The sequence below is a fragment of the Homo sapiens genome, chromosome 2 (assembly GCF_000001405.40).
Source record: "Homo sapiens chromosome 2, GRCh38.p14 Primary Assembly".
NCBI lineage: Eukaryota > Metazoa > Chordata > Mammalia > Primates > Hominidae > Homo > Homo sapiens.
In genome coordinates this window covers 134,926,514-134,953,186 of record NC_000002.12, presented here as the reverse complement: position 1 = coordinate 134,953,186, position 26,673 = coordinate 134,926,514, and the positions used below count along the sequence as shown (strand labels likewise).

Below are 26,673 nucleotides of genomic sequence, written 5' to 3'. Positions count from 1 at the left end.
ATTTAATGCAAATTTCTTGTCTTATAAAAGTTATATATTAAAAACATTATATATTAAACATATGGAAATAAAATGACCTGGGGTTCAAGATTTTATGTTGTCAGTAAATAAATGCCTTAGAGGCATAAAAGGCTATAAAAAATTGAAAACACCCATTTTAGAATCAGATACAAGTTAAATCCTAGCCCAGCACTTCAGAAAGTAATTTAACTTGTCTAGGCTTCAGTTTCCCCATTTGTAAAATGAAGAGGATACTTTTGTCATAATCACTGCAAAAAATTTTTTAAAAGTATAATGTACTTTAGCAAAGTCCACTGGACTCAGTAGTTGAATATGTGAGTATATGTAACTTGAGATACGTTGAATTATTCAGGAATACTGCAAAGATTATTTAACCACAAAAATTCAAACTGGTTAGCTATGTAAATGTTACATAAAAGACTGAAATTCTGTTAAACCCTGTCAATTCTCTTACCCTCCAGTTTCGAATCTTCTTCAACCTATTAGGCGTTTTCTCCAATATTTGTAGAAACTCATGTGTTAGCTCTAAAAATAAAATTTAAATTTGAAACTTAGAAGGTGCCTTTAGGATTTAAATTTCTCTTAAGTGGGCAGTATTAAAAAGGAATGCTAGGAGTTCATCTACTTCACTTTTACCCTCCTATTAAATCCTCAGCATACACAGAAGTACACACAACTCTCAACCGGCATTTTCAAAGCTGAATCCTTTTGTAACGATTACTTTCCCTCTTGATTTTACTTGCTTAATTAGAATCTCTAGAAAATCTAGTAGCATTAAAAATAATCACCCCCCCAATAAAAAAAAAATCTTCATTAGGCAAACACCACAATAATTTTTGTCACAGACAAGATCTATCAAAAGATTCTTTAAAATTAGTGGACAAAAGTTTGAGGAAAAACGTTATTTGTATAATCCCAACGTATCTTCCCCATGAAATGTATTAATTACAAAGAGAAAAAAAATAGTGACTTTAAAGTGCAGAAACCACTTTAAGGATACCACTGTAACCAAGTGATCACGGTTGTCATGACCAGTTATAAGACGTATCAACATACTGTACCCCTTGATATGATGCACCAAGCAAGACCCAATTTACTTCTATGGTATTCTTGCTCAAAATGGATAACTTCGACATAATAATGAGAAATCATCAGACAAACCCCAACTAAGGAACACTGTATAAAATGACCATTATTCTCCTAAGTGTCAGTGTTATGAAAGACAAGGAAAGATTGGAGAACTGTCACAGACTGGAGAAGACTTGAAGGGACATGTCAACTAAATGGAACATGGGATCCTAGAATAGGGAAAAATATGGAATACTGAATAACATCTGTGGTTTAGTTAACAGTATTGTACCAATGTTAACTTCCTAGTTTTGATAATCATATATTGTTATGTAAGATGTTAGTACCAGGAGAAGCTAAAGGGTATACAGGGAACTATGCAATATTTTGCATTTCTTTCTTTCTTTTTTTTGTTAAATAACAGAGACAGGGTCTCGCTATGTTGACCAGGCTGGTCTCAAACTCCTGGCCTCAAGTGATCCTCCTATCTTGGCCTCCCAAAGTGCTGGAATTACAGGTGTGAGCCACCACACCCAGACTTTTTTTTTAAAGGGGAAAATTCCTCCAAATATACTTCCTAGCTATCAACACTATTAATATATTAGCAAACTATCTTCATTGTAAATTTCTACCAACTTTCTTAAAATTCTGATTACAATCAAATGACCCACTTTTCCAAAGTAGTGTGGTTTTGATGAACTAATAATGTCATTAATAGTTACTAGCCACTCTCAAATATTCATCAGTCAAATACATCAGAATATTATATAATATTAATAATGCCAATTCCACCTCAATACTGGGGGAACCTCTATTAATAGAGACTACAGGTTCATTTTGTAATAGCAAGCTTTTTTGTAAACTATTCTAAGCCAATGTTAAGATCGACACTTCAGACAAGCTATAATTTAACCATTAATCTTTCAAGATGTAATTTCCTTGACAATGTCATGACTAGTCCCTGCTAAAGTCTCATGAGCTTTTTCATCCAGTTTGGATGAAAAAAACCCTAATGCCCAGACCTTTACTTCCTCATTTGAAAAAAAAAGAAAAAAAAAAAGACTATTTTTCTACTTTTGGGTCCAACATTAACAAAACTGTTTTGACTCAATTTCTGTTAACAACTTGGTTGTAAAACATTAAATACACTTCAAGTTCTGGTCCAAAATCTCGTACACAAAATGTAAGCTTTGTTTTTCTTAAGTATCCTACTGTATTAAATTTTATAGCAGAACAACAAAAGAATCTGTTAAATAATCCATTAACATAATTAATTAGCTATATGCACAAAAATCACAGTATGTGCCTAAAATAGAGGCCCTTCTCTCTCAAAGCTACTGTCTAAGCCAATGTTCTTTTCTGGAACACAATCATTAAGTGAATTATTTCAGTAAGTAATAAGAATAGTAGTATCACTTCACTCTACAATTCAGATAAATCTTCATGTCTTTTTTTTTCCCCCCAGACAGGGTTTCCTCTGTTGCCCAGGCTGGAGAGCAGTAGCATTATCACAGCTCACTACAACCTTGACGTCTCAGGCTCAGGTGATCCTCCCACCTTAGCCTCCACAGTAGTTGGGTCTATAGGAGTGCGCCACCATGCCCGGTTTGTGTGTATTTTTAGTAGAAACGTGGTTTTGCCATGTTGCTCAGGCTGGGCTCAAACTCCTGTGCTCAAGATATGTGAGTGACTGCACCCGGCCACACCTTCATGTCTTTAATTTTGAATTGCCTTTTTGTGACTGACACAGAAAAAAAAGCTGCTGCAAAACATGGTGAAAGTCTTAACATATCAGTTCTCCAAGATTCCTATTCAATTGCTCTCCAAATTAACAAACTTTACTTTTCAGAATGGAAATGAGGTAGCTCCTCCTGTGTCAAAAAACCCCACATAAACCACAACCTAACCTCTGACCTAAAGACAGGATAAAAGGCAGATTACTTTTCTGTGATCTTTTTACTTCAGCACCAGGTATATAAACTATTTTTATTACGATTATGCCTACTGGCTGGGTGTGGTGGTTCACGCCTGTAATCCTAACACTTTGAGGCCAAGGTGGGTGGATCATGAGGTCAGGAGTTCAAGACCAGCCTGGCCAACATGGTGAAAACCCTATCTCTACTAAAAATACAAAAATTAGCCAGGCGTGGTGGCAGGCACCTGTAATCCCAGCTACTCAGGAGGCTGAGGCAGAGAACTGCTTGAACCCGGGAGGCGGAGGGTGCAGCGAGCCGAGATTGCGCCACCGCACTCTATAGCCTGGGCGACTGAGACTCTGTCCCCCACCCCCCCCCCGAAAAAAAAATTTTGCCTACCTAATCTTAATCTAGTGACTATTAAACTAAAACAATGACCTAGATAACCTGATTTTTCAAGCTATAGAACAGATAAGCCCTCACTGAGTTTTAGATGTCATTTCAACTCATTGAAGACTTCCTTTCCTCTGGATAAACTCTGAAAAAGCCTCTAACAATTTAAGAAAAACATTATAATCATGCAGCAATAATACAGCATGAGATATATATTCTGGGATAATTTTTTCCAGGTGGAAAACAAAATAGAAAAGGATGAAACAAAGAAGCATATTTCACAAATAAGAACAGGCAAACTATGGATAATTGGCCAAATATGGCTGGCCACCTATTTTTGTCAACAAAAGTTTTACTGGAACACAGTCACACCCAATCAGTTACAAATTGCCTATGGCTGCTTTCTGGCTGCAATGGTATAGTTGTATAGTTGCAACAGAGACCTTATAGTTCACAAACTCTAAAATAGTGTTACTCTTTGCAGACCCCTATCTTAAAGAAACATCAGGTGGGGCACAGAGGCTCAAACCTGTAATCCCAGCCCTTTGGGAGGCTAAGACAGGTGGACTGCAAAACCCCATCTCTACTAAAAATACAAAACTTAGCTGGGCGTGGTGGCATGCGCCTATGGTCCCAGCTCCTCAGGAGGCTGAGGCAGGAGAATCGCTTGAACCTGGGAGGCAGAGGTTGCAGTGAGCCCAGGTTGCACCACTGCGCTCCAGCTTGGGGGGCAGAGTGAGTATCTGTCTCAAAAAACAAAACAACACAAAACAAGGCCAGGCACAGTGGCTCAAGCCTGTAATCCCAGCACTTTGGGAGGACAAGGTGGGCAGATCATCTGAGGTGAGGAGTTTGAGACCAGCCTGGCCAACATGGTGAAACCCCATCTCTACTAAAAACACAAAAACTAGTTGGGTGTGGTGGCTCGTGCCTGCAGTCCCAGCGACTTGGGAGGCTGAGGCAGGAGAATTGCTTGAACTCGGGAGGTGGAGGTTGCGGTGAGCCAAGATTGCACCACTGCACTCCAGCCTTGGCGACAGAGTGAGACTGACTCAAAAAAAAAAAAAAGTGTTATCTATTTTCTTGCTGAAATCTACAGTACGTGGTTAAAATGCCCTAATCCCAAGAATCTCCCATTTCTGGCCGGCTTCTTTTACTTCTCAACCAGAGGAATTTCTCATCAAAACATCCCCAAAATTCCACGTTCCTAATTAACAGAACACACACCCACAATTTCTCCTTGTGTATTCATATTTAACAATGTAAGGCAACAATGGTAATACAGAGCAAGAAACACAATCCCCTGAAAATCCCTTTCGTTTACTGCTTCACAGTTAACACTCAACTTTCAGTATACACATTTAAAACTCAACAGAATTAGTATACTTTAAATCACTATTCTTATCTTGTCAGCTTATGGAATTCTAAACCTTACTTATTTATTTTTTAAGTCCTGAAAAAGCTTTAGATATTTGGTGGTAGTTAATATATACCCAGGCTGGAGTAGAGCAGTGCCTTCAAGGCTTACCGCAGCCCTGACTTCCCGTGCTCAAGTGATCATCCCGCCTCAGCCTCCCAAGTAGCTGAGACTATAGGCACGCACCACCACACCCAGTCAATTTTTAACTTTTTTTTTGTAGAGACAGGGTCTATGTTGCCCAGCCTGGTCTTGAACTCCTGGGCTCAAGTGATCCTCCTGCCTCAGCCTCCTACAGTGCTGGGATTACAGGTATGAGCACAGCTTCCAGACTCTATTTTTTTTTCTTTAGGCTGATGAATTGTTGTTTTCATTCTGTTCATCTGATAGTGTACTGACACTTTCTATTGTCAATTCAGACAACTGCCAACTTAGATAATTCCAAACTTAAAAATTTATTTTCTCTACTTACCATCTAATAATTCTAGAGTAACTGTAGGATCCACATATTCCCACCAATGCTTTCCATCAGTTGATACAGGGATCTCCCAATTGGACCATTTGCAAGCCAAATGAATGCATACACATGCTATCACTGTTGGTTTGTACTGAAGACAGAAGGTTGTAAGATGCAGACTGTTGCAGAGCAGGTTTGAAAATGGAGAGCCATAAAAATTCAAGTATGTAAAACAAAGAAAAACATTTACCAGTAAGATTAGAGCAAAATTTAAACTCTATCTTTAAGTCTAGAGTATAAAACCTTATTTTATTAAATTAAAAGCTAAGTTATAAAATTCTAGTACTAAAAAATCTACATAAAATGAACATTTCCCCTCACTCACTCCCGAGTATATTACTAATATATTAATATTTAAAATTTTGTTTTTACATCTAAAATTGAAGTATTTTATAAAAGGAGAGGAGGATAGTATATTTGCAATAATCACTATATAGATAACACTGTAAATTTTTTGTGGTATTTTTCTTTTGTAATGTCATGGTAAATATGTAAATGGAAAGATAAAAACTATTTGTAAAATTGACAAAGTAATTTCAATCTCACAATAATCAGGGATTATCCCAACTGAAGTGGCTTAATAGGCATTTGCTTTCTTTAGTGAAGCAGAGAATTAAACACGTATCTATGTAAATCTATGCCTTGTTTTTCAGCAAAGCCACAAAGGAAACTTACCTTTTGCCAAACAGCTTCAAGGCTCAATGTTATTAAATACTGCAAAAATACTACCTTTCTCCTTCCACTATATGCCAAATATGGGGCATGAAATATGTGTCACAGCTAGCCTTTTCTAATCAAAGTTCCAAATTTAAGTCTTTTTATGTTGCTGTTCAGAATTACTGGGGATAGAGGTTAAATACCAACAACAGATATTTGAGAAAATATAGCAGTATTTGCCAATGTGAAATTGTAAATAAAACTTATCAGTGTCACAAGAAATTAGGGACCATACAAAGCTGGTTTGGTCCCTTCTCCCCAATGATCCACTCAAAAAGACAAATTTAAATCATTAATAAATCTAGAACAGAATTATATATTAAAGGCTCCTTAAGACTATTCTTCCAGTTCAGTTTCAATGATGGAAATGTTATCTGTTCAGCCATAAACACATACCATTTTTTACTCTATATAAACTGAAAAGGAAGGTTTTTTTGTTTAAAAAAAAAAAAAAAGGAAAAATTGTGTTTATGCAAATCCAGGCATGGATAGGACTTGACTACTTTTAACTTGCTACTAGTGGGTATTATCTGAAAAAAAATTTCAAATTACATAAATTTTATTTATTAAAAAAACTTTAATGAGTATTTTAAAGTTAAGACTGGATCAACGTGAAATTTTAAAAATTGTCATTTAACTATAATTGTAAACTGGAAATAGCTTTATACTTACCAAGTTGCTCGAATTTCTACGTTAAGTTTAGCTCTTTGTAATCTTTAGCTGCTATTCAGGCTACCAATTTTAGACTTATGCACTCACAAATCGAGAATATGTCATCAGAAAGCACCACTACACTTCACATTGTGCATTTAACCCCTCTGTGCCCAAAGTCCCTTGTACAATACACCGCAAAGCAAACAGGAAGGTACCACCACAGTAGATGGTCCAGTCTCCTGTCGCAACAAGGGTAAGAGACACATTGAGGGGGCCCTGCATTAAAGGAAGCTATAGTGTGCTACAACAGTGCAACAAAGAGGGTCAGGATAACAACCTGTTGGTAGCCATGAAATAGGATGTCTGTGCCAAATCCTTGCTTGCTGTAAGAAAAAAAAAAAAACGAAGACAATACTATCAGCCTTAACGTGCTACAATCAAAAAGTTCTCAACACAACAAAAACTTCAAAGATTTGTACACAAAAAGTAAATTTTACTTACTACTTACAAATATCACAAGAGCGCCATCATTTTCTATACTACTGAAAATCTTCAACAACATTCACTCAAATGTTTCTTGCTATCCCCCAAAGATCTGAGAAACAAGCCGATTTGCTTTTAGCTAGCCAGTTACAAGGGCTAAACTTGTTACTAAGTTAAGCATCTAGTCAGCTAAAAGTTGCAATAAAGCATTCTCCTGGATTTAAAAAAAAAAGAAGAAGAAGAAGAAAAGATTTTGAAGTCTAATACAAAATACAAAGAGTTGCCTGCCAGACTTAATCCTCAGTCATATTTAAGTTGGCTTAAATACTTCCATCAAAAACAAAACAAAACAAACCCCCACCCCACAAAACACAGAGCACAAACTGCTCAGTTTTTCATCATGCTATTAAGCATCAACAGAGAATAAACCTAGAAACAGCATACGGGTACAGATACAGGAGGCTCCACTGTATTTTAGTTCAAATTACAGAATCTAATTAAAGACTAACTTAGGAAAGATACAGGTATTCTAGGGAGGATCAGAATGCTTCAACACTGATACCCAACAGAAAGGCAATTTTTAATTAGCTTAAGACACTGAAAAGTTTTCCCTCCCCTTATTCTGCCTCTTAGTCTTCCCAACAGGGATGCTCTTGTTATAGTTTCCCTTTTTCCCAATTACATCCACAAGCACTGACATATCTTTCCCCTCTGCTCACCTAGGATCAGTTTATCTCAACTCCACCCCTCTAACCGTCCTCAAATTTCTTTCCCCCTCCCCTATTTTTTATTCATGGCACCTGTAATCCCTGCTGCCCCATGTGGATCATCAACATAAAGGTTTTACAAAAGGGATTGGGGTTTAGCAGAGTTGTGCTAAGGAAGAGTGTCAAAGCATCAGATGTCTTGGAGGCAGTGTGACTTTCCTGGTGGGGAGGGAAGGAGAAATCACAGAAGTGAAGGTCCCTGTAAAATGACATTAGCCAATTCTGCAGCAAAGTAGCATAATACCAACTTTCTCATCTCCAGAGGGGAGAAAAAGACTTCACAGAAATCAAATTTATTTTCCCCTCCCCCTCCGAATAAAAATACGTAGAGAAGGAAAAAATAATAATTAAAAAATGCCATTAGCAGTTTTCACCTAGGCATGTATCTAAATTCAGTGATCCAGAAACAGTCACTGTGCAACAGAGAATAGAGGGGAAATGCTGTTAGCTAAAAGTTGTAAAAGAGCAAAGAAAACAAAAAGACACTAAAACATGAAACAGTACTTTTAAAATGGAGTGAGATATATTCTAGTTACCTGAAATGTTAGTCAGACAAAATGACATTAAACATATATATGGTTTGTACTCAAAGAATCAGTCACATTTTAACATTAACAACAACAAATAATCTGGTCTAAATATTTGTTTTGGATGACATATCAAATTTGTAGTTTTTGTAAATGTTTTAAAAGTTACTATTTCATTTTTCAAGTAAACTGACTTCATGTCTCTAGAATTTTTAGTTGTAGGAGAACTTGTACAAAAAATATTAATCTCTGATAAAGAATTTAAAGTTGACTCAAATTTCACAACAGTAACCTGAAAATCCAATTTCCTAAGTTAATATTCACAAGTAATATTTTTAAACATATACTAGTACTTCCTTCAACTAATGTTTCTTCAATAGGCTCTTAATTTAAAGCAAATTATATGGCTACAATGCTTACAAAGTTTAGCTTAACCTTTTTCAAGTTCTTAGAAAAAACTAACCCTTTTTCCTTAATTCAACAACTACAACTAGTTATGCATATAATTCTATGCTATACTGTAATATTCAGATGAAAATGTGCTATAAAACACGCTGATATAACCATGAAGAACAGGAACCACAGTTAAATATGTTCTAGCTTACAAATGATAACGTGTGCTACTACAAAAAAATACAAATTAGATTTTCAGATGTCTACTTCCTAATGACACTATCAGACAGTTTTTAAAAAATTGTAGCCACTAACATAATAAATCACTAGGTATAAAATGAATTCAATTTAGAATGAATAAAATGTGAGAATACTTAGGTAAATACTAAAAACAAAAGATTTTCAAAAGTCGTACTCATTTTGTTTAGGATAAATCTAAAAAAACTTGGTAGTAAATGAATGAAACTGCAAAATTCTATTTTCAAAAAGGAAGTAACAGAAAATGGCACATTACAAGTCCCAAGTGGTTGCTATGAATACATTAACACTTGAAATGGAAACAGGAAAGTGGAAGTAAGAAGCAGAACAACATGCAACTGTGTAAAAAATATTTCTAGGGATACAACAGATATATAGGATTCATTTAGGAGTAGAAAATGCTGTATCAGATACTACCAGATACTTTACAAGCAGTAAAGCAATATTTTTAAAAAGTACTCCTGTTTATAAACAAGACGCTTAACAGGCACATCACAAACTAAATGTATTATGCTCTATAATTATTTCTCCGTTACAAAAAGGAAACCACTTTTAGTAATGTCAAAGACCCTCGAAAAATACATTAAATCAATTTTAGATTGCCCAAATGAATATGGGCAAAACACTCCCCCCACAAAAATAACTTTTTTTTTTGAGATAGGGTCTCACTCTTGCTGCCCAAGGTAGAGTGCAGGGGCATGATCTGGGCTCACTGCAACCTCCAACTACTGGGCTCAAGCCATCCTCCCACCTTGGCCTCCTGAATAGTTGAGACTACATGCGTGTACCACCACAACCAGCTAATTTTTGTGTTTTTTGTAGAGATGGGGTTTCACCATGTTGCCCAGGCTGGTCTCGAACTCCTGAGCTCAAGCGATCAGCCTGCCTTGGCCTCCCAAAATGCTGGGATTACAGGTGGGAGCCACCGTACTGACAAATCTTTTAACAAAGGCAATTTTTATCTGAAAGGTCTGAGGTTGGCCTCAAAATTCTTCAACTGTTATCACTTTTCAAAAAGTCAAAGTTTGACACAAACCCAAAATTAATATTATTTTCTGAACCTATGCACTATTGGCCCACACTTGACTGAAATGGGACTAGCAAAGCTCAATGGGGGATGGATAGAGTCCTAATACTTGGAAGCCCTCCGGAGTTTTAGTGAAATGAGATTCTTACCTATGTTTAAAGGAAGCTAACATACCAGGTAGAATCACAAATAGAAGTAGATGTAGAACACTAAAAAGTAATGCTTAAAAAATGACATTTCTCCCTAATTTTAATGAAACCTAACAAAAGGCTAGAAAAACAAAATAGCACCCAAATCAATTACAGATAATAAAAAGCATTAATACTTATCTTAAAAGTTTCAAGGATCACCTACCTCTTACTAACTGGGTACATTTCACCACATCTGTGTGTGGGTGTTCAATGGTGATCTCAAAACCTGAAATGATAAGCACTTTTTTTTCCAATCTCTTACCACTACAGTACTTGCCTGAGAAATGCCATAAACGTATAATATATTCTTCATTATTAAGAAAAATCCAAAGTTATAAGTTTCTCATCACTGACATTCTCATTACTTTTCCAATGACAAGATATAATTTTTCAAATACAATGTCTCAATTATGAAAATAAAGTTAAAAGACCAAGGGTAAATTTATTCAAAATTCTGAATTATAAATGATTCGGGATTATCTTAAAAACAAATTAAATTCCTGGCAAATACAACTGTTAAGCTGGTCCCACAATTTAAGGACGGAATTCAACTACGTAATATCTTTCTTAATATTCCAAAGCTTTCTTTCAGAAGACATGAAAAGTGCAGTTTTCATAAACATAACTGTTGGGCCACAGTGGTAGAAACGAGCTTTTAAATGATACGGCACTCTAGATCAAAGGGTTTCAACCAGTTACCTTATAACCATACTTCATTAATAATCAAAATCATATGACAAACCATAGAGGTCTCATGACTGCTTAAACTACTGTTTCTAATACCAAAGATGAAATGTTTAAAAGCTATCAACGTGCAATCAACCCTTAGGTGTGGCAGGGTTTCTGTTTTTATTAAAAGTGAAGATCACATTTGGTTGTCTTCAGAAGCAGTAAGTAAATAAAATCCTAACAAATGGGTAATCTAGATTTATAAAGTTGTTGTGTGGTCTATATATAGTTCTACTGTAATTAAATATGCAGAATACTTTAAAGCCATAGAGGCATATCTTCTAAATTCTAATGTTCCCCTTAAAATAACACTTTTCATTCTCTGTGCTTAAGAATATGTCATAAACAATATGGATATTACATTACGATTTTATATAACAACTAAATATTTTATAATGATTTATGATTTTTCATTTTCAATTTTTTACTTAAATGAAATTTATATAATTTTGTATAGTAAAACAATAACATGCTAAATCATTGGATTTGGAAGAAATAAGACCCTCACTTTTTTGGTATCTTTTTATTTTATAGAAACTTCAAATAATTTACAGCTGACCTCTGAACAACGCAGGGCCTAGGGGTGCCGATCCCCATGCAGTCGAAAATCCAAGTACTCCCCTAAGACTTAACTATCGTTGATCAGAACCTGCTTACCGCTGAAGCCTTACTGGTAACATAAACAGTTAATCAACACATATTTTGTATATGTATCATATACTGTATTTTTACAACACAGTAAGCTAAAGAAACTATTAAGAAAATCATAAGGAAGAGAAAATGTATTTACTAGTATTAAGTGGAAGTGGATCATCATAAAGGTCTCCATACAGAGTAGGCTGAGGAAGAGGGGTTGGTCTTACTGTCTCAGGTTGGAAGACACAAAAGAGGAGGCAGGAGAGGCAGGCAACACCTGGTGTAACTTTACAGAAATACACCACAATTTCTGTCTTTCGCTGGCATTAAATTCTCTGGCTTTAGATCCTTCACCTTCCCTTTGCTTTAAGCTTCTCTCCAATCATATTAGAGTCCATAGGTATGCCTTTCTTACAGCAATCCTGCATTCACATAAAAGCTTCATTTTCAATATGAGATAAAGTGCAAGGTTTTTGTGCCTGCTGGTATAGCTGCAGCGATGACTTCACAAATGTCTTTTTCTTCTTTCACACTGAACCTTACACTGGATTCATTTATCTTGAAATGGGCAACTGTAGCTACAGACCTCAATCTACAGTACATATCAAACAATTCAACTTTTTTTTGTAACATCACAACTTTCATCTGCTTCTTGGGAGCACTTCTGGCATCACTAGAGGCACTTTGTATGGGTCCCATGGTATTAATCCAAGTTTCCAGTATCGCACTAAATACGGTAAAAATATGCCAGAACCTCTTTTACCGCAATATGTAATTTACTGGAGAGACAAACTGTTCAGAGATGACAGGTGTCACACAGCATTTTACGTGGATACTCATAACATGTGAGCTCACTGCAATAGCAACAGGAGGTGGCTACAAAATTATCACAGCAGTACAGTTACGTATTATTAAAATTAATTTTATGTACCTTTACATTTGTTTATTTACATTTTCTCTTAACTGCGAATAGAGCCACATATTGTCTGTTTGTGTGCCTAACTTTTTAAAATTTTTATCTTTTAAAAATAGATTTATGTATATTTTATGGCAGTAAATGATAAAATAGACTAATATCTATATATAGTTTATGCATTCATGACATATCCAATTTTTTCAATATTTCTAGGCTACAGCTCACCTACAAGTTTTTTCAAATTGTTGCAAATTCCCAATTTTCCAATATTATTTATTGAAAAAAATCCATGTAGACCCATGGAGTTCAAACCCGTGCTGTTTGAGGGTCAACTGCATATGTATTTCACACAAACTAGTTTTGTAACGAAGAGTCTGTCACAATGGGAAATTGTGACTGATTTATCGCACTTCTATTCAACATCTGGGAATGGAGTAATGAAATTAAAAAAATGACAAATTCACGATATGACTCAGATACTATTCCACCTCTACAGAATGGAGGTACAACAGGTAAAGGAACTTTTGCCCAAGTTTACAAAGCAAGTCAGAGGCCTACAGATTTTAACTTGGATCTCCCCAAAGCCCATGTTCTTCCTACCACATCCTAGTAGGTTCTTCCAGAACTAACATATGACTTTAGATAAGCCATCACTTTCTTAGGCCTCAATTTCAGTAAATTGAGTAAGGTGAATGGTGACAGTAAATGAACTTGCATACAAAGATATAACCTTTAGAAAAGGATGACCAACATTTAAATAATTACTATGTCACATTAAAAATCATATGATAGGCCGGGCGTGGTGACGCACACCTGTAATCCCAGCACTTTGGGAGGCCAAAGTGGGCAGATTCCCTGAGCTCAGGAGTTCATGTCCAGCCTGGGCAACACGGTGAAACCCCGTCTCTACTAAATTACAAAAAAATAACCAGGTGTGGCAGTATGCACCTGTAGTCCCAGCTACTCGGGAGGCTGAGGCAGGAGAATTGCTTGAACCCAGGAGGCAGAGGTTGCAGTGAGCCGAGATGGCACCACTGCACTCCAGCCTGGGCGACAGAGCGAGACTCCGTCTTAAAAATAAATAAATAAATAAATAAATAAAATAAAAAAGGTGATATACTCATAAAATACTGACTGGCAGCTCGAGGAGAATAAGGATTGCTGTGTAGGTTTGTATACATCATAATCATATAAAACAACCCTAAAGGACCATTTTACTCTCCAGTGCAAATCCAGAGTGAAGCACAGTACTTCAACTACCTGAAAACCTAAGAAATCATACTGAAGGGTACGTTTACCATTCAATTTAATTATGCCAAATGAAATTAAATTCTAGAAAAGTAATTTCCTTATAACCAGGCAACCTTATTCTGTCTAAAACCTGTTTTAAAATAACTTTCTTCAATAATACAATTATTTCAGAAATCTTTTCACTTATTTAGAATGCTTTAGTGAAATACACACAAAAAGCCATTATCTGATGTAAGTACGTACCTAGAGTTTGTAGCATTATGGTTTCAAGTATAACCAGTTCTTGAGTCTGTTGAAGGTAAGCCTGTCAGATAAAAATATTATCAAATTGATTAAAATAAAAATAACATTACTAGACTGCATGACTGTTACATCTTGTGAGAATTACAGGTTGATTACAAAAGAACCACAGTAGTTTGAAAATATGGAGAAAATAAACTGAGGGTGACAGAGAAAGCCTGTATTCTGTGGCAAGCCTAAACTGAATTACTTTCTGTAACAGGAAACAAACACCAGAAAACAAAAACCTAACCAATATGAAAGAGGGTAAGTTAATTGAAATAAGGAGATGTGCACAGTCTGTAAAGTGAAACAACCTAGGCACTGGTGCTTCAAGAGATATTAAAGACAGGAAGCACCAAGTCAATTAAAAACATCCAACTCAAACCTGCCTTTAACCCAAACCTGGCTTACAAACTCACTCTAGGACATTTCATGTGGTAATTCCTCAAAAGTCACAGTAAGTCACTGAGTAAATTTTAGAATTAACTTCCCTGCCACCTTAGAAATGACCAAACATACCAAAATAATGTATCTCATACCCACGGGGACATAAATACCAGAGAACCTCCTTATTCAATTTCAAGAAATTATCCCTCTATTACAGTTACTCTGGAAATAAAGGATATGAAAAATTACTGCTGTCCTATTCTGAAATCATGACAATTGACCAAAGTGATAAGGAAATACTATATTACTGATATGAATATACCTATATTCATTTTTGTAAGGACATATTTCTAAAGCCAGAGAGTAAAAGTACCTTTTATTTTATTTATGCTCTACTTTGAAAGGTCATTGAGCTGATTTTTAAAACAGTCAATTTCTATTATTTAAACAGTACCCCAAGAAATAGTTCTGAATTTGTACAGTTAATATAAACTGTAGGAATTATCTTTAAATAATGACAACCTATTATTTAATGGCTACATTAACAGTTTACTCCCTTAAAGCCAACATTATGATAAAACTTGCCATTAATAAAATCAGATATAGTTCCATTGAAGCTTAAATTAATCGGGACTTTGAATTAATATAATCTGTTAGTCATTCAATGGGTAAAGGTTCCTGATTAAGTAACTCAGGATGCTAGAAAAAAAAATTTTTTTTTTGAGACGGTGTTTCACTCTTGTTGCCTAGGCTAGAGTGCAATGGCACGATCTCAGCTCACCGCAACCTCTGCCTCCTGGGTTCAAGCGATTCTCCTGCCTCAGCCTCCCAAGTAGCTGGGATCACAGGCATGTGCCACCATGCCTGGCTAATTTTGTATTTTTAGTAGAGATGGGGTTTCTCCATATGATCAGGCTGGTCTCAAACTCCCGACCTCAGGTGATCCGCCTGCCTCGGCCTCCCAAAGTGCTGGGATTACAGGCATGAGCCACTGTGCCTGGCCGAAAATTTTTAAAGGGCCATAATTCTAACTTCCTTATTTCTCCTTATTTCTTAAGATGTCAGAAAAATTTAAAACAGTTCTTTCAAATAAGGTCTATTACAATGTTGATGATAAAGTTGTCTGGAAAGGAACATTACTCTAGGAAAATTAAAATACTAAAAAAATGCTGCTCATGAAAGCAAAATAAAATGCAGCTTTATGTATCAGAGAGATAAGCAGTAGTACATGCATTAAAAAAGGAACAATACTTTAAAAAGACTACTCATCTAGGGGTAAATTCAGAAGATTTTCTGTTCCTTCATCTGTTGACAATTTAAGGAGTTATTTATATTCTGGTCTCAAATACAGCTTCCAGCGGAGGTGATAGGACTTACCCTCTACATATATCATAACTCTGAACAACAAAATATGAAACAAAAGTATCTTTGAATCAACAAAGCACCTGGAATCAAAGCCTTCTATAATTCAGAATGACATCCAAATTCATGAACATACATTATATGTTTTTCTGCCAGACTGCTTCCTGGCATTGCATTCCTAAGAGGTAATAAAACAAGCAGCATTTGGAAGGCACCACTAATTGAACTGTGTATTTTTGTTAGGCCTACATTATGAAAAAGTTTCAAATTTACAAAGAAAAATAAAAAACCCAGTATTTACATACATCACATTTAGTATCCAGCAGTGGCTCTAGAGGATGAAGACAAGCATGTGCTACTTTGATAACATGTTCAAGTTTTCGAGCCTGTTCTTCCACTTTTGCAGCCAAAAATAATGCAGTAGACGATATTATCTGCAGAAAAGATAAAACTCTGGTCATTTAAGAACAAATACATTTCAAAAAACCCTCTATTTTCTTTTCTTTTCTGTTTTTTTTTTGAGGTGGAGTTTCGCTCCTGTTGCCCAGGCTGGAGTGCAGTGGTGTGATCTCGGCTCACTGAAAGCTCCACCTCCCAGGTTCAAGCGATTCTCCTGCCTCAGCCTCCCTGAGAAGGTGGGATTACAGGCATGCACCACCACACTGGCTAATTTTTGTATTTTTAGTAAAGACAGGGTTTCACCATGTTGGCCAGGCTGGTCTCGAACTCTTGAGCTCAGGTGATCCATCTGCCTCGGCCTCCCAAAGTGCTGGGATTACAGGCATAAGCCCCTGTACCCAGCCCAAACCTTCTATTTTTTAAGGGGGGGCGGGTGTGCAAGGAAGGAATGCAATATTAATAGTATGAACTGTGAGTTGGGCTATGACAAGATTGATGTAATAGTTTTAATAAAGTTATTCATTAAATAGAACTAATCTATAAATCTGTTTTACTCGTTTTGCACATAGAACAAAGGGGAAAAGGGAAAAGACATACTAAGTAAGTTGACTGAACATACTAAAAATGCTAAAGAGAAAGTTTAAATAATATTAATTTGCACATTGTGGAGGCAAAGAAGAAAATAAGCAAAAAGATGATGCTATACCTGAAAAAAAAAAAAAAAGATGAAAAGCGGATCAAGTATACCCACTATACTCCTTTTCTAGGCACAGAGTCACCATTTTCTAATACTCTTTTAAAAAATCAAGCAATGATTCATTGTGTGGCTATAACTACCACACAAGATAGTGAAGATACCTTCACTATCTTGTTGAAGGAACAGAAAAACCACCTAGAGGGCAAAGTAAGGAGGATTCTGAACATAAAACTGTTACTTAATTATCTCTATTACTTAACTATAGCAATAATGAAAGCAGCTACACCACCAGGGTATAAGCATGTAATATAAACCAATATAGTAGAAACTTTGCCAATCAGAGATCCATAAATTAGCAATTTTTTTTTTTTAGCTTAGTAAATTAGGTCCTTGGGACAGAAATATAAGAACACAAGCACTACAAAGATACTAAGACAGAGAAACATGAAGTTTGAATATGTACCCCAAAAGTTAATAATAAATCAAGTAACTGTGGACTTAGAAAATAGGCATAAAATAAACTCAAATAATGTTTTAAGATTACATTCAAGAAATTTCCCATGGGAAGACAATTTCTAAATGTCAAGATTTGAGTACCCATTTTTCAAGAGATGAACATTTGAGCCTCACTATGTCTTGCAGGGGGCGTCAACAATTACCGTACAGAAACAATGCCAAACTGGAGGTGAAGAAAATTTCTGACAGAGGGACAGTGGATCCTTTCAGTATGAGATCTTTTAAAATGTAATATGAAACTTAATCACTGGAATTAGGATCTGAAAAGGACCTTTCTAGTCCAACTGCATTTGCAGATGTGTAAATGAAGTAAAAATGACTTTAAGAAGTTTTCCTTCTGGTAAATCTTTATAACAGATGTAAAATAGAGTTTGGCTCCCAAGAACTAGAAATAATGTTAACTTAAAATGAGTGAATAATTTTAATTTGCACTTTCAACTTATTTCTTCCTTTTAAAATTACAACAAGGAAAGGATTAGAAAAATTGAGAATGCTCAAAAGAGTAATTTAGTCTGGAAGTAGCTTGAACACAGAACAGAGTTCTTTATTTGTGTTCCTAGGATTTAGCACTATGTGGCTGTTGTTCAATTTGTTGAATGAATATGTATAATATATAGTGGCACTAATATTAAATTCAAAGTATTCCAAATGCCACTATAAAAATCTGAGAGCTGATGCCCACATAAGACATTCAAGAAAATGAAGACACTCTCAGTTTCCCACAATCTCTCATTTATTGTCATTATTCATGTCTAACAGGGGAATGGTTAATCAAGCCTTCAAATGCTAAAACTATTTGTCAGAGTGAAGCAATAGAGGCTCAGGTCAAAAGTCAAATTAGACCGAATTTAGTACTTAAACTTCCTTCCTGTCAGATGATCCAGAATTTCTCTTACTTGCCTGAAAGACACTGATCAAGAAATACTTTCCAGCTAAACACTAATTCCCAACACTCTTCCAAAGTTCCTGGTGAAATCCACTAATTCCATTCACATTTCCTTCTCTATAACCTGCAAATATTTTCCTCCATCAAGGCTGTAAAAACAAAACAAAACACCTTTTTAGATAAATATTTTGTGAGTATCCATGTGAGGCTTTAATTTCAAGGATGATTAAGGAAGGTGATCAAACTAGGTACTACTGCTTTTTGTATGGAAGGTGATTTTGTTGTGAGGCTTAAAAGAATTCCAAATGTTTTGGGTAACAGAAATATTACTAGTTGGTCCAAAGCTTTTAAAGGTGAGCATACTTTTGAAGCCAACAAACATTCACTGGCACATGCAAGCTTGGTTCAAGCCAAATAATTCACACTAGTATTGGAGGAGTACAGCTGGTTTGGTTCAAGTAATCAAACAATTACAAACTGAGATTCAGTTCACTGAGGACAGGGACCATGCACTATTTATTTTTGTATTTTGGACCTAGTTTAATAAACGTTCTCAAATTAAAGGGAAAAAAGTAAAAGGAAGTTGATGCGAATAGTGTTTAGAATTGTTTGAACTCTGAATAGTGTCATGAGTTTGTTACTCTAGCAGATATATAACTATTTCAAGGAAATGTAACATTCTCAAAATGAGACAAATAGATATTTGTGGAATTTCTCTATAGAAATATATCATACAAATCATGGAGACGGGGAGGTAGAGATGACAGAGCCAGCCATAGCCATGCTGCCTCAAGTGGAATCTTGGCTCTGTGATCTGACTAGCCTAGACAATTTACTTATTCTCTTTGTGGCTCAGTTTCTGCATCTGTAAAATGGGAGAAATATTAATAGTACCTGCTTGTAAAGTTGTGTGAGGATTAAATGAACCAATATACACAGGACTTAGAATAGTGCTCCCTAGTAATATGACTCAAATATTATTATTATGTTGAAAAATTTTTAAAATTGTGCATGTTAATGTTGATTTTAAATTTAAAAAACAATTTAACAAGTGTATTTTTTAAATTCCCTTCTCTCTTGCTCACCTTCTTCCTTTCACAGGTAAACTTAATTCTTGGAGGGTCCTGCTGCAGTCTAAGCAAGCATATCCAAACACTGAATTTATGATATTTGACATTACTTCAGTGATTTACATCCATATTCCTTTCACTCCTTCTCTTTTTTATTCCTTTTTGTTTCCATTCCTACTTCTTGATCTGACTCCCTTCCTTCTCCATTTTTTCTCCTCCTGCCCACTCCTGGCTGCTGTCTCCCCTCTCTGCTCCTGATACCCTTACTGCTGATATTCTTCACTCTCCGCTGCTGGCTTCAACCTTGATAGCGGAGGCAAGGTCAGGCTGAGTTAACAAAAAGTCTGGGTAATTTCTAAGTCACCCAAGATGGCTGTATTCAGTTTCAATGAATCATTCTAGTCCTTATTCTCTTAATATTAATAATTAATCCTGTGCAAACACTTTGTGGGTGTATTTGTATTTAAGAACTAGCCAAAGCTATCTGATTACTCTTCAACATTAAATCTCCCAATCCAGGAAAACCCCAACAGAAGCAAAGAAAAGGATTCCAAGTTTGCTTTTCACTTACTATTACCAACAGGTTCATTCTAACCTGTTCTTGTGTTTCATCTTTAGGTTCTATAGGCTAGTGATGCCATTTCTCCCATTGCCCTAAACACCCCCCTATCCAATCCCTGACTAACACTAGGATAACTATTTTCAGTGCCTTGAAACGGACTTCATTAATAAATATTCAGCAAGCTCTAGTCAGACTATTACAGCTCAGAAATTGGAACTTTCTTGCTAAGGCTATAGTTCAGGAGAAGGGATAGTTGTATAACCTTACTACAGGCTTATAGAAAGAAGGTCTTAGAATAAGAAAAGGAAAGTAGAGGAAAGACAAGAGAGGTAACAAACTGACAAAGGAAGTGGAATAAGTCAAAATGCCCATTTGTTAATTGGCATTTGCCAAGTGTGAGCCTATCAAACCAAAATTCCAGCACATTGTTAAAAAGTGGTTTAAATCCTTAATTTTGCTGCACTAGAAACACCAGCACTAAGGAATTGCAGAAAATGTTATTAACCCAGTGTGGCATTTTAGTTTTCTTACTCAAATAATTATGTGAGTGAAAGACTGACATGAAAGCAAATTTATATTAAAAAATTAAAAAAAATCTTCAAGCTGGATGTTAAGATACCTAATTACATTTAAAAGAAAGCTGGGTTAATAACGGCCCCAAAATATCAGTATTCAATATTGCTGAAAAGCAGTACTGATTAAGAGAATAAGGCTTGACTTCCATAGAGTAACTACATTATACTTAAACAATATACTGAAAATGGTTAACATAACCGGCATTTAAAAAATTATTTAGTGGGGAGTACCTGAGCATTATGAATGTTTCTAAAAAAGAAAAAATATCAGCCGAGCGTGGTGGCTCATGCCTGTAATCCCAGCACTTCGGGATGCCAAGACGGGCGGATCACCTGAGGTCAGGAGTTTGAGACCAACAGGTCAGGAGTTCAAGATTAACACATGGTGAAACCCCGTCTCTACTAAAATACAAAAAAATTAGCCAGGTATGGTGGCACACACCTGTAATCCTAACCACTTGGGAGGCTGAGGCAGGGGAATCGCTTGAACCTGGGAGGCGGAGGTTGCAGCGAGCACCACTGCACTCCAGGCTGGGTGACAGAGTGAGACTGTCTGAAAAAAAACAAAAAAGAAAAAATGAAAAAAACCAACTTATAAAGTATACTTAGTATTTCATAGTTAAGGCTCTATCTACTCTCTCTTATATAGACACAGCTCCTAACAGCCTACAATAAATACTAAAAAATACCACTCTAAGTCCCAGCTACCTGGGAGGCTGAGGTGGGAGGACTGCTTGAGTCCATGGGTTTGAGGCTAGCCTGAGCAACAGAGTGAGATCCCTTCTCTTAAAAAACCAAAAGGACAAAAAATGACTTGTATTGTGAAACAAGAACATTAACATTGCACAGGAATTCAAATATACTACATAAATGTTACAAAAGGCCACTTTCCTTCGAACAGATTATCACGAAGATGGCAGTACTCCCCAAATTTATCTACAGATTCAATGTCATCCCTATAAAAATCCCAGCTTCTTTTGTAGAAACTGATGAGCTTGATCCTAAAATTCACATGGAAATACAAGGGACTAAGAATAGCCAAAACAATCTTGAAAAAGCACAAAGTTGGAAGACTCATATTTCCTAAATTCAAAAGTTATTACAAAGCTACAGTAATCAAGACTATGTGGTCTGCATAAGGGGATGGAATAGAATCCAGAGTCCAGAAATAAATGCTTACATTTATGATCCATTGATTTTCACTAACAATCCCAAGAAAATTCAGTGGGAGAAAGAACTCTTTTCAGCAAATGGTGCTGGGACAACTGTATATTCAAATACCAAAAAAAAAAAAAAAAAAAAAAAAAGATCCGGGCATGGTGGCTTATGCCTGTAATCCTAGCACTTTGGGAGGCCAAGGCAGGCAAATCACGAGGTCAGGAGATCGAGACCATCCTGGCTAACACGGTGAAACCCCGTCTCTACTAAAAATACAAAAAATCAGCCGGGCGTGGCGGCAGGCACCTGTAGTCCCAGCTACTTGGGAGGCTGAGACAGGAGAATGGCGTGAACTTGGGAGGTGGAGCACGCAGTGAGCCCAGATGGCGCCACTGCACTCCAGCCTGAGGGACAGAGTGAGATGTCTCAAAAAAAAAAAAAATTCAAATCCTTATTTACATCATACATAAAAACTAACTCTAAAGGAATCACAGACCTAAATGTAAGAGCTAAATCTATAAAACTCTTGGAAGAAAAGACAAATAAATCTTTATGACTCTAGTTTAGGTAAAGGTTTCTTAGATATGCTATCAAGAACACAAGTTACAGAAGAAAAATATTAATAAACTGGATGCTTGTGCTGCAAATACCACCAAGAACATAAAAATGACAATGCATAGAATAGGGGATATCATTTCACACTGTTAGGATGGCTACGATAAAAAAAAGACGAGAAAAGTGATGATATTGCAACCCTCACACATTTTGAGAACACAAAATGGTATGGCTACTTTGGAAAACAGTTCGGCAGTTCCTCAAAATGTTTCTTAAAAGCTATCCAAAAAGATTATTGGAGTCTAAAGTTACCATACCAATCCAGCAATTCCACTCTCATGTAACTCTCACCCGTAAGAAATGAAAACATATGTTCACATAAAAACTTGTACATGAATGTTCATAGCAGCATTATTCATAATAGCCAGTGGAATGGCTGTTAAGTGTAATCAACCCAAATGTCCATCAGCTGATAAATGGATAAATAAAAAGAGGTACAGCCACATGACGAATAGAATATTAATTACTCTGCAGTAAAAAGGAATGAAGTACTAACACATTCTACACCATGAACGGACCTTGAAAACATGCTTCGTGAAAGACCATATATACATGATTCCATTTATATGAAATGTCCAGAATGGGCAAATCTATGGAGACAGAAAATAATTTAGGGGTTGCCCAGGGTTGGGAAGGGGAGTGGGACTGGTGAACTGCTGCTTACAGCAACCAGGTTTCTTTTTGGGGTGATAAAAATATTCTAAACTGAGATTGTGGTGATAGTTGTACAACTTCGTGTGAGCCACTGAATTATGCATTCTAAATAGGTGGATTTTACGGTATATGAATTGTATCTCTCTCTCTCTCTTTTTTTTTTAAGGAGCTAACGTTAAAGACATCTATTTAGGCCAGGCGGGGTGGCTCATGCCTGTAATCCCAGCACTTTGGGAGGCCAAGCCAGGCGGATCACTTGAAGTCAGGAGTTCGAGACCAGGCTGGCCAACATGGTAAAACCCTGCCATTACTAAAAATACAAAAATTAGCCAGGCATGGTGGTGCATGCCTGTAATCCCAGCTACTCAGGGAGGGTGAGGCAGGAGAATCACTTGAACCCAGGAGGTGGAGGCTGGAGCGAGCTGAGATTGCACCACTGCACTCCAGCCTGGGTAACACAGCAAGATTCCGTCTCAAAAAAAAAAAAAAGGCATCTATTTATTAGTTCTCTCTCTCTCTCTCTCTCTCTGTTTTTGAGACAGGGTCTTGCTCTGTCACCTAGGCTGGAGTGCAGTGGCGTGAACGTGGCTCACTGCAGCCTCAACCTCCTGGGCTCAAGCGATTTTCCTGCCTCAGCCTCCCAAGTAGCTGGGACTACAGGCGCACACCAAGATGCCGGGCTAATTTTTTTTTAAATTAATTTTTGTAGAGACAGGGTCTCGCCAAGTTGCCCAGGCTGGTCTTGAAGTCCTGGTTTCAATCCTCCCACCTCTGTCTCCCAAAGTGCTGGGATTACAGGTGTGAGCCACCATGCCTGGCCAGATCTCCATAGATGTAGTGTGCATGCACTAACAAAAGAAATTTCAAGGAAACCGAAAGCCTAATCATAACGTAACAAATACTAATAAACAATATGCATCTTAACCATGTGTAACTTTATCACACATTTGTTAATTTAAAAGTAGAATCAGGTTTTGTTTTGAGAATATCAATTTCTTAAACAGCAAATAACTTTTTGGCATTTACATTATGCAATTATATTATTTTTTAAAAAGCAATTGTTTCATAAAATTATTAATTTGTTTGGGTAACAAAAATAATTTTAACAGATATTTAAGTCTACATAAAGTGAACCATATCAACTCAAACAGTTACTCACACTAGGCATTCAAAACCCCAATCATGGAGCTATAGCAACACAAAGTAACTGAAATATCTACCTTGGGGTGGGGGTGTGGAAATACCTGGTATCCTCTCTGAATCCTTGCATCATTTAAAGATTACCCCCAAACCCTCAGAATTTTCTCTTCCTGCCCTCTCAGGTATTTCTTTTTAAGCATGGAACTATATAAAGTTTCATTATCTTCCGATTTTTGGCCACAGAAGAAACATCTTTCCCATTTTTTTTTTTCAACTTCTAAATGAACCCTCAGTTTAAGATTAGTGTGAAAGTGCACATTTGCCTTTGGAAGGAATTACTATAGTGTGAATGGCCAATAGTAATTCTATTTGCTGGTGGATACAAATGACTATAGCCCACACCGTCACTGTCAAATAGAAATATAGGCTGGGCACGGTGGCTCATGCCTGTAATCCCAGTACTTTGGGAGGCTGAGGCGGGCGGATCACCTGAGGTCGGGAGTTCTAGACCAGCCTGACCAACATGGAGAAAACCTGGCTCTACTAAAAATACAAAATTAGCCGGGAGTGTTGGTGCATGCCTGTAATCCCAGCTACTTGGGAGGCTGAGGCAAGAGAATTGCTTGAACCTGGGAGGCAGAGGCGGTGGTGAGCCGAGATCGCGCCATTGCACTCCAGCCTGGGCAACAAGAATGAAACTCCGTCTCAGAAAAAAAAAAAAAAAAAAAGAAATACAATGTGAGGCCGGGCATGGTGGCTCATGCTGTAATCCCAGCACTGTGGGAGGCCAATGCAGGTGGATTACCTGAGGTCAGGAGTTCGAGACTAGCCTCACCAATATGGTGAAACCCCGTCTCTACTAAAATTAGCCAGGTGTGGTGGCACATGCCTATAATCCCAGCTACTTGAGAGGCTGAGGCAGGAGAATTGCTTGAACTGCATATTGTCACTAAGCACAAGCCTTAACTTCACTTTTAACTTTTAATAACAAATAGGTGAACTTCTACAGTTCTCATCCATTTCTTTTCTGTATCAGCTCCAAATAATTTAGAGAAAAATTCACGTTACATGTATTTCCTTATGTATAGCCATATAAAGAGTATGTAATATGTCACTAACAATCAGAGCCTTAGCTTATTTAGGGGTAAAATATTAGGTTAACACCAGAAAATGTAGAGTGGTAAGGAGATTCCATCATTTCCCCTAATCCCTAGAACATGTGTAAATATGTACTCCCTAGAATGTATATGTATGTTTATAATAAAATGCAGTTATCTAATTGGATTTTCACTTAAAAAATTACCTTAACCAATTTTAGCTATTAATACTAAAAACAAAACTCCTGTTCTGCAATGGCCTTGAAAATCAGTTTATAAACTATATAAAATCTGTCTGATTTTATACTGAGACATTTGCATGCCTTGGCCAATGCAAACACTCAATGCACATTTGTTAATATATTAACCTATTCTACTCTATACACCTAAGTTTAGAATTTGTTATGGTTTGAAAGCGCCTTGGATCTTGCAGGACTGGGTTCACTCTCTTGCACTCCTGCCATGCGATGACTCAACAAAAAGGATGAGCCAGGACCACAGAGAAGCATATAAATTACCAAGGCTAAAATATACATGTATCTGTGTGTGCAGAGAAAAGGTATGAGTTATTTCACAATCATTTAATTTTGCAAAAAAAAATTTTAAGCCGCTTCAGGAATACTTCATAAGACTTCTATAATAATACAGAGTCACTGAAGTCAGTATCCCTGTAATTAGGCAGATAAGAGCAGCATGTTTCAAAATAACATTTAAAGCTTTCTGGGGAAGTTCTAGAGTAGCTTTCAGAATTAATTTGAGAAAATCAATCAAAAATATCATATATTCTTTGTAATGCCTATTAATAAATGAACTCTCCCACAGCTTCCTTATTTAACAGAAACTTCAAGTGATTTATTCTTTTTAAAAAATCAACTTCATCTTACACTCATTTCCAGTGGGACCACAATAGGCTGTCATTTAAATGTACTTATAAATACTTCTGGAAAGATGAAGTCCCACTGGAAATGAGTGTATCATCTTCTGAATGAAGGTAAACTTTTAGTGATTTACCTGAAGAATTCTGAGTTGATGGCTGCAGAGGGGATACTTAAATCCCCACAGAAAAACAGAGCAACAAGATAGCAAAACCAAAACCCCATGGATAGCTACAACCAAATCACATGACAAGCCATTCCTAGGGAATTCCTAACACATACGAATGAGGAAAAAACAGGCTACTATGTCAACATACACAGCACAGTGCAACAAGATGCAAAGGAATGGGGCATGTGCTGGACTTGATATAAGAAGAACCTCAAAGAGCCAAAAGACATTCACTGGAAATCATGGCAGGCCAATGTGAGAAGAGCAGCTAGCACTGGGAGTTTTGCCAGTCCAATAAGTAGATGGATGCAAGAGACCTACAGTAAGGATTAAAAGACCGAAGCTAAC

The 26,673-nt window shown here is 36.6% G+C and overlaps 1 protein-coding gene across 10 annotated transcripts in view; it reads right to left on the bottom strand.

The window, feature by feature from the left end:
* The window catches only part of CCNT2 (cyclin T2), a 40,521-nt gene that overhangs the window by 6,156 nt on the left and 7,692 nt on the right, over positions 1–26,673 (bottom strand). For 2 of the 10 annotated variants that reach the window (NR_037649.2, NM_001320749.2), the window contains exons 3-9: positions 16,218–16,346; positions 14,125–14,185; positions 10,513–10,575; positions 7,212–7,298; positions 7,041–7,086; positions 5,288–5,451; positions 476–546 (exon numbers count right to left, since the gene is read on the bottom strand). Coding sequence is in view for 8 of the 10 variants with exons in the window: in NM_001320749.2 (NP_001307678.1) it covers positions 476–546; positions 5,288–5,451; positions 7,041–7,054 (249 nt within the window). In the remaining 2 variants the exon portion in view is untranslated. Of the gene's footprint in view, positions 1–475; positions 547–5,287; positions 5,452–6,721; positions 7,087–7,204; positions 10,576–14,124; positions 14,186–16,217; positions 16,347–26,673 lie in introns of those variants that run through there. The other 8 variants (NM_058241.3, NM_001241.4, XM_017005227.2 and 5 more) reach the window with 6 other exon arrangements.